This window comes from Homo sapiens, chromosome 5 (assembly GCF_000001405.40).
Source record: "Homo sapiens chromosome 5, GRCh38.p14 Primary Assembly".
Classification (NCBI taxonomy): Eukaryota; Metazoa; Chordata; class Mammalia; order Primates; family Hominidae; genus Homo; species Homo sapiens.
Window position 1 is genome coordinate 175,264,105 of NC_000005.10, and position 9,849 is coordinate 175,273,953.

General features: G+C 38.8%; 1 annotated feature.

Annotated features, from left to right (window-relative positions):
• Nucleotides 6,574-7,773: an enhancer, noted in NCBI's record as "BRD4-independent group 4 enhancer chr5:174697681-174698880 (GRCh37/hg19 assembly coordinates)". NCBI's record gives its function as "activates an origin of replication core promoter dependent on BRD2, P300/CBP, MED14 and CDK7 cofactors, and independent of BRD4, by STARR-seq in HCT116 cells {active_cell/tissue: HCT116}" and the evidence as "EXISTENCE:reporter gene assay evidence [ECO:0000049][PMID:35650434]".

The window sequence follows — 9,849 nt, forward strand, 5'->3', positions numbered from 1 at the left end:
CATGTATATATTTGTCAAAACTCATAAAATTATACACTTAAAAGGGTGAATTCAATGTTATGTAAATTATTTCTTAATAAATTTGCTTAATCATAGCATGGGAGGAGGGAAAACTAGATTGGAATACAGATAAAACAAAGTTAACCATGAGTTGGTCATTTTTGAACCTGGGTAATAAGTACATAAGGATTCATTATACTACTTTCTATACCTTGCATAAGTTTGAAATTTTCTATTAAAAACAAGTGAAAAATGGGGGATTCTGGGAAACAGTGGAGTAGGAAGCAACAGGAATCTGTCTCCCCAGACAACAATCATACCAGCAGAATCTATCTGACAGAACTATTTGGGAACTCTAGAGTGTACTGCAGGCTTGCAACTTTCAGGAAAAGGCCTAGATGATAAACTGCAGTTAACTTCAATTTTAGCTCTTAGCTCGGCAGCAGCTACACATGCCACACCCCCAACCCCATGGCAGACAGCTGTGCATGTGTTCCTAGGGGACCCTGCACACAGCCCGTGGGAGCCAGTGTGGGAAAGAAGGAACCTATTCTCCAACTCCTAGGGACCAATGTTCTGATCACTGATTCCTGCTCCTGGTCACAGAGATGGATAGTCACTGTTGTACCCCTTCCCAGTTTTTACAAGCCCCTCTCCTGTGCTGAAGCAGCTCCAGGGGATATAAAAGATAAGTGGCTTTCTCCCATCTTCATTTTTCTCTTTTGAGAGCTGGTCATTAAAGACTAGGACATTCAAAAGCAATTGCATATAAGAGGAAATTAGAAAGCCACTATGCAAACCCAGGGGATAGCACACACTCAGAAAATCCCTGGGAAGACTTTAAGTTTACACCCAATGCTGATCCTCAACATGGAGACAGTTTACAATAATCAAAAGAACAAAACAATAAAAATTCAGCAAACTCAGGAGAATGGGATGAATCTGCCTTCCAGAGTTACCACATTACTAGGTTCAAATGTCTAGTTTCCTTTTTTGTTTTTTTTTTTTTGTTGTTGTTGTTGGTTTTGTTTTGTTTTGTTTGTTTGTTTTTTTGAGATGGAGTCTCGCACTGTCACCCAGGCTGGTGTGCAGTGGCATGATCTCGGCTCACTGCAAGCTCCGCCTCCTGGGTTCACACCATTCTCCTGCCTCAGCCTCCCAAGTAGCTGGGACTACAGGCACCCACCACCACACCCAGCTAATTTTGTTTTGTATTTTTAGTAGAGATGGGGTTTCACCATGTTAGCCAGGATGGTCTCGATCTCCTGACCTCATGATCTGCCCACCTCAGCCTCCCAAAGTTCTGGGATTACAGGCATGAGCCACTGCCCCTGGCCTCAAATGTCTAGTTTTTGACAAAACATCACAAACTATACAAAGAAACAGGGAAGAATAGCCTATTCAAAAATCAATAAATAAACCAGCAGAAACTGTTCCTGGGAAAGATCAGTTAGCAGACTTACTAAACACTTTAAAACAGCTATCTTAAAGAAGCTCAAACAACTAAAGGAAGATGTGAAGAAAGTCAAAAAAATGATATATGAACATTATGAAAATAATAATAAAGGCCTAGAAAACCTAAAAAGAAATTCTAGAGCTGAAAAGTATAATAACTGAAATCAAAACTTTTACTATAGGGATTCAAAGGCAGATTTGAGCTGGCAGAAGAATCAGTGAACTTGAAGGTAAGATAACTGAAACTACTGAGATGAAGAACAGAAAGAAAGAAGCTTGAAAAAAAGTGGACAGAGCCTAAGGATGGGACACCATCAAGTGGACCAATGTATGCATTGTGGGAGTTCCAGAAGAAGACAGAAAGAAAGGGGGAGGGAGATTATTTGAAGAAATAATAGTCAAAATATTCCAAATTTGATGAAAGATATAAACGTAAACATTCAAGAATCTAAATGAACCCAAGCAGGTCTCAAAGAGACCAACACCAAAACACATTATAATCAGATTTTTGAAAGACAGAGAGAGAATATTAAAAGCAGCAAGAAAGAAATGACTTGTTACATGTGAGGGATCCTCAGTAAGATTAGCTGCAGATTTCTTATTAGAAACTGAAGGTCAGAAGGCAGTGGCTGATATGGTGAAAGTACTAAAAGATTTTTCTTTTAATTTCATTCAAGAATCCTATATCTGGCAAAGCTGTCCTTCAAAAGTGAAGGAGAAATGAAGACATTTCCAGATTTTTAAAATAATAGAACCGACCTGTAAGAAATCTTAAAGGGAGTTTTGCAGTTTGAAATGAAAGGACAGGCTGGGCATGGTGGCTCATGCCTGTAATTCCGGCACTTTGGGAGTCCTAGGCGGGTGGATAACTTGAGGTCAGGAGTTCGAGACCAGCCTGGCCAATGTGGTGAAACCCTATCTCTACTAAAAATACAAAAATTAGCCAGGCGTGATGGTGTGCACCTGTAATCCCAGCTACTCAAGAGCCTGGTGGCAGAGAAAGAAAGAAAGAGAGAGAGAGAAGAAAGAAAGAAAGAAAGAAAGAAAGAAAGAAAGAAAGAAAGAAAGAAAGAAAGAAAGAAAGAAAGAAAGAAAGAAAGAGAAAGAAAGAAAGAAAGAAAGAAAGAAAGAAAGAAAGAAAGAAAGAAAGAAAGAAAGGCAAAGCATAGTAACTTGAAGCTTGAAGCTATACAAAGAAATAAATATTTCACTAATAATAAATACATGGGTAATTATAACAGTTACTATTATTGTAACAATGGTTTGTAACTTCTCTTTTTGTTTCCCGTGTGATTCAAGACTAATACATTTTAATAAATAATTGTGGCTCACGCATGTAATCCCAGCACTTTGGGAGGCTGAGGTGGACAGATCACTTGAGGTCAGGAGTTCAAGACTGGCCTGACCAACATGGTGAAGCCCATCTCTACTAAAATTACAAAAATTAGCCAGGCATGGTGGCATGCACCTGTAATGACAGCTACTCAGGAGGCTGAGGCAGGAGAATTGCTTGAACCCAGAAGGCGGAGGTTTCAGTGAGCTGAGATTGCACCACTGCACTCCAGCCTGGACAACAGGGAAAGACTATGTCTCACAGATAAATACATAAATAAATATTACTCTAAAAGCTAGTATTATTGAAACTTTGACTTGTAGCTCCACATTGTTTTCCATTTAATTTATGAGACTATTTAAAAAAAAACTATTAGTCTATATTTTTAGACATACAACATACCAGGATGAAATTTTGTGACATAAGTAACTGAAAGGGGTACTGAAGAATTGTAAATGAGCAGATTTTGTATGTTATTGAGATTAATCTGGTATAAATTCAAATTTAGTGTTATAACTTTAAGATGTTAAATGTAATCCTCATAGTAACTATAAAGACAATAGCTATATAATATACACAAAGGAAATGAGAAGGGAATCCAAGCATGTTACTACAGAAAAATCAACTAAACACAAAGAAAGGCAGTAAGGGAGAAATGAGGGCCAAAAAAAAAGCTAAGACATACAGAAAAAAATGGCAATATTAACTCCCTCCCTATTTATAATTATTTTGAATGTGAATAAATTAAACTCCTCAATCAAAAAACATACTATTCCAGAAAACTCAAAAGGAGGGAACACTTCTACACATATTCAATAAGACCAGCATTACCCTGATCCAAAGCCAGGCAAAGACTCTACTAGAAAATAAAACTGTAGACCAATATCCCTTATGAACAATGAAACAAAAATCCTCAACAAAATACCAGCCAGCAGAATTCAACAGTACAAGGATTATGCACCTTGACCAAGTGGGTTTTATTGCTGGAATGCAAGGATAATTCAATACACAAAAATGAATCAGTATAATACAGCACATTCACAGAATAATAGGGAAAAGCACATGATCATCTCAATTGATGCAGAAAAAATATTTGACAAAATTTAACACCATTTTATGATTACAAACACTCAACAAACTAGGGATAAAAGGAAACTACCCCAAAACAATAAAAGCTTTATAGGAAAAATCCAGAGCGAACATCATATCCAATGGTGAAAGACTGAAAGTTTTTCCTCTGAGATCAGAAAGAAAGCAAGGACCTCATATAGCCAAAACAGACTTGAAAAAGAAGAGCAAAGTTGAAAGACACACATTTCCTGATTTAAAAACTTACTACAAAGCTACAGTAATCAAAACAGTGTGATACTGGCATAAAGACTGACATAAAAACCAATGGAACAGAACAGACAGCCCAGATATAAACCTTTACATTAAGGTGTAATCATTTTCAACAAGAGTGCCAAGCCTATTAAATAGAGAAAGGAGAAAGGACAGTCTTTTCAACAAATGCTGCTGGGAAAACCAGCTATTTACATGGAAAAGAATGAAGTTACACCCTTATCTAACACTACATACAAAAATTAAGTCAAAATGGACCAAAGACCTGAACAAAAAATGCTAAACTATAAAACTCTTAGAGGAAAACACAGAGCAGAACTTCATGACATTGGTTTTGGCAATTTTTTGGATATGACATCAAAGGCATAGGCAAGAAAATTTAAAAATAGACAAATTAGGCTTTGTTGAAATTAAAAACTTGTGTGTGTGTTAAAGAACACTATCAACAGAGTGAAAAGGCAATCTATTGAATGGAGGAAAATATTTGAAAATCATAGATCTTATATGAGATTAATATTCAGAATATATAAAGAGCTCTCAAAACTCAAAAAAACTCAAAAGTGGGCAAAAGAATTGAATAGACATATCTCCTAAGAAGATATACAAATGTCCAATAAGCACATGAACAGATTCTCATTGTCACTAATGAAGAAAATGGAAATCAAAACCACAATGAGATACCACCCCATACCCATTGGGATGGCCACTACCAAAACAAAACAAGCATTAACAGAAAATAACCAATGTTGGCGAGGACATGAAGAAATTAGAACCCTTGTGCATGGTTGGTGGGGATGTAAAATGGTAAAATTACTGTGGAGAACAGTATAGCAATTTCTTAAGAAATTAAAAATAGAATTACTGTATGATGCAGAAATTATACTTCTGGGGATATAACCCAAAGAAGTGAAAGCAGGGTCTGGAGGAGGTATCTGTACATCCCTGTTAGCAGCAGCATCATTCACAATAGCCAAGGGGTGGAAGCAACCCGTGTATCCATTGATAGATGAACGGATTTTTTTAAAATCTGGTCTGCATATACGATGGCATATATTCTGCCTTAAATAGGAAGGGAATTCTGATGTATGCTACAGGATGAAGGAACCTTGTGGACATGATGCTAAGTGAAATACGCCAGTCACAAAAAAAGACAAATAGCATAGGATTTCACTTAGAAGAGGTACCTAGAGTTGTCAAAATCGTAGAGCTAGAAAGTATGGTAGTGGTGGTTTCCAGGGACTATGGGAAGTTACTTTTTATTGAGTTCAGAATTTCAGGTTGAGATGATGACAAAGTTCTGGAGATGGATAATGGTGATGGCTTGTGAATGTACCTGATGTTACTAACTGTACACTTAAAAATGAATAAAATAGTAAATTTTATGTCATGTACTTTTTGCCATAGTTTTTTTAAACTTTCATCAAAAAAACAGAGTTAAAAAACAGCAGCAACACTGCACAGTGCTAATCCAGCCCATGTGCTTCCATGCTGCTGCCTTTAGTTTGGCACTTGCAAGTGAGAAAGAGAACTGGGGGAAGGGGGAGAGAAAGGCTATGGTGGAAGGGGCAGAATAGTTCCCAGAGGCGTACCTCGAAACCTTGTGCCAGGCACTGAGTTTAACACTTTATCTTACTTTCATTCAGTCTCTTCTATGAGTTATTCTCATTCCTATTTTACAAAGGGGAAATTGAGTTCTGCAAATTTCAAGTAATTCACCTAAGGTCACACAACTCATATGTCAGAGCAGAGATATGATCACAAGTGAGCCTGGTTCTCCTGTATCTTGGTGCCTGGGAGGGGGCTGGCTTAGCAGAGGGGCATCCTGCATAGCTCCAGCTCAAAGGTGATCAATAACTTGTAGGGTGGGCAGGAGTCGTCTGGGGTGAGAACCCTCCAGGCAAGAGAATAACGTCACAAAACACAGGAAGGAAGGGCCAGGGAGCACCAAGCAGGATCTATCAAAAAAGGGCTTTGAGTCTAAAATTCGATGACTCTCCTTGTTTTCTGAGCAGGATAGACTAAAAGGCACAATTCCATGCTTTGTCTTCAATTCATGAATTGATGCTGTCAGTCATTTATACATTTGACCATTTATTCTTCTTTCAAACATTTATTTACTTGTTTGTTATGCTTCAAACATCATTCAACAAACACCCACACAGATCCGTCCTATGGTCAAGCACTAGGAATACAAAAATAAAAATGGATCAGCCCAGCTGCTAGCTTGGTCCAAGCCACCATTATCTCTTGTTCCCATTGGTTCTGGATCCCACAGGGATGTGGAGGTCCCCTTCTCTCCAGAGCCACCCACTGGGATTGTAAGGAAATAAAGGGAGATCATTTGTATTAATTATTATTAAGATAGTTGTCACTTATAACTAATTCAAAACAACCCTTTGAACCCCTATCAACTAGATAATTTTATCCCCAAAATAACCTTTTGAAAGCCCATGAAATAGGGTTTTATCTGCATTTTATAGAGAAGTAAACTGGGAGTGCAAGAGACAGGCCGTGGTAACACAGTGTGACTCTGACTGTGAAGGGATGTAGGGACAGGAAGCCATAGCCCAAAAGAAGAACAAGAGATGGCTCCAGGGGGCCAGTGGAAATGGCAGGAAGATAAGTGGAGACTGTCAGAGCCCGAAGGTGAAAAGTCGCACTCCAGGCAGAGGGTACAGCATGTGCAAAGGCATGGGGGCCTGAGGGAGCATGCCTGGGCCATTTGAGAACTTGTTAGTGGTTAGGTGTGATAAAAGCTGGAGGGGCATGTGAAGGGAAGAGGGCACAGAGGACTGGAAGCTGGAGAACCACTTCTGAAATGACTTGCCAAGAGTTTCCATTTTCCTACATCAGTGACAAATCTCCAGAGGACTTCAAGCAAGCGAGGGATGAAATCGGACATGAAACAGAGGAGGGTAGTACCTTTACAACCTTTCAGTCATTTCCCATGGAAAACCCCATCCGGGCTTGTAGTAGAATTCTCCATAGGGCCTGCCTCTTCTCTGGATGCTCCAGAGGGCTGCAGGGAGGCATCAGAAAACTCATTTGCACCCTCAGCAAGTGGCCCAATAATTTGCTCTTCTCTGGAAATAAGGCCTCCTGTGAACATTAGCAGCAGACACCACGGCCTTGGAGAAGTTGATTTGGGTAACTGTCTACCCAAGGGGAATATTATTGCTTCCCTTGAGATAGAGAAAGAGAGAGAGTGAGTGTGTACCTTCTTGTAAGTTTTTCTCATGTTTTTTTTTTCTAGACTATAATTCTAATATATAGCAAATTGGTGGCTAAAAGAACAAATTGTTCCAAAATCATGATGCAGAAAAAAAGCTCTTGAATAAGGCATTTCAAGCATACTGTGTCTGAAACTAAACTCTTAATTTTCTCTCCAGAAACACTGCTCCTTTGGTCTTTTCCACCTCAGTAAATGATTCCAGAAATCTTGGAGTCATTCTCTAGTCCTCTTTTTCCCCCACATCCGACATTCAGTCCATTAGCAAGTGCTATCAGCCAACTGTACCTTCCAAATATAAGCAGAATCTGACCTTTCCTCCACCTCCTCTGCTACTTCAATGGTCCAAGCCATTCTCATCCCTTCCTTGAAAAAGTGATACCCCACCCCACTGGTCTTCATGCCCCACTACAGACCATTCTGCACACAGCCGCCAAAGAGACAGTTTTAAAAATATAAAACAGATGTGTTGCTATGTCGCTTTCTTCTACTTACAGGGAATAAGGTCCAAGCTCCACACGGCAGCACACAAGTTCTACAAGATATGGCCCCTATATACTCCTCCAGATTAATCTCTTGCCACACTCTCCGGCTCTTACATCAGCCTTCCCAGCCTCCTGGCTCTTCCTCACACATAGAAGCCTGCTTCTCTGTCCAGAAAGTTTTCTTCCAGAGCTTCTTTGGGCTCATTCCCTTGATTCCTTCAGCTTCCAGTGTTAGATTCTTGAAGACAGGTCTTCTCTAAGCACTCTTTTTCAAATAACACCCACTGCTTTCCCTCATTCTATTGCTTTACTCTGTGTCTTCGCTGCAGCTATCTCTATGTGAAATTATCTATTGGCTGGCCTGTGTCCTCCACTAGAAGGTAAGACCTATAAGGGCAGAGATTCTGACTATCTTGGTCATTGATGCCTAGAACACTGCTGTGCACACAGGAAGTAGATATATCATTTTAAATGAACAAATGAATGTTTCATGTTCCCCCCCAATTCTCAGTCGTAATCCTCAGAGGAAACAAATTTTAATTATTTCAGTTATTTTTTGGTATTTGCCTCCATATTCCAATGATAAGTTTATACTTTCATTTTATTGTTATCTACTTATTTAACTGACAAATAAAATTGTACGTATAATATACAACATGATGTTTTGATATATGCGTACATTGTGGAATGGCTAAATCAGGCTAATCAACATATTTATTACCTCACATTCTTATCTTTTTTTTGTGGTGAGAACATTTGAAATTTACTCTTTTAGCGATTTTCAGGTATACAATACCTTATTCTTAACTATAGTCACCATGTTGTAAAATAGATCTCCTAAACTTATTCCTCCTGTCTAACTGAAATTTTTTATCCTTTGACCAACAACTCCCCAATACTCACAATGCATGTGTTATAGACATTAATTATTTACCATTCGATATGCTAAATGAAGATTAGCTCATTGGCACTTCCACCTCCACCTTACTTTTCCTCATCATCTCAGAATACTTGTGTCATCACGCACATGTATGTTTATTGTGGCACTATTCACAATAGCAAAGACTTGGAATGAACCCAAATGTCCATCAATGATAGACTGGATTAAGAAAATGTGGCACATATACACCATGGAATACTATGCAGCCATAAAAAATGATGAGTTCATGTCCTTTGTCGGGACATGGATGAAATTGGAAATCATCATTCTCAGTAAACTATCGCAGGGACAAAAAACCAAACACCACATGTTCTCACTCACAGGTGGGAATTGAACAATGAGAACACATGGACGCAGGAAGGGGAACATCACACTCTGGGGACTGTTGTGGGGTGGGGGGAGCGGGGAGGGATAGCATTAGGAGATATACCTAATGCTAAATGACGAGTTAAGGGGTGCAGCACACCAGCATGGCACATGTATACATATGTAACTAACCTGCACATTGTGCACATGTACCCTAAAACTTAAAGTATAATAATAAAATAAAATAATTTTTAAAAAAGTTATACTGGAGCACAAACTTAAAAAAAAAGAATACTTGTGTCATTATCTTTTGATGAGTAAATAATATTATTATGACTATTACATGCACCTGCTGCAGAGCCAAGTGGTGTGTTATGGTTTTACTTTCTTTCTTGTACAACTTTATGGTGTCCCTAGTTTCTAATTATCATTATTTTATGCTTGCAACTTCTTGTAAGTAGTAAGTCTAAATTTTTTTAAGCACCATCCAATTAGGTGTTCTAATAAGCCCCCTTTTCTCAAGGATCCCACCCTCTGGGAAGCAGAAAGAGTTCCCAATTTCTGCTTCTCTCTAGCCTGGTCCTTTTCTAGCCTTGGATATAGCTGACACCCTGGGACTTCCTATAATTGCCTTCCAGGGTTGGACCCATTGTTTTCTAAATCCCATGTCTTCCTTATTTTGTGTCTGCTCCCTGTGGTTCTGAATCCAATGGGCTCTGTAGGGGTTCACATCTCTCTCCTGAATCCTGTGGAAAATATC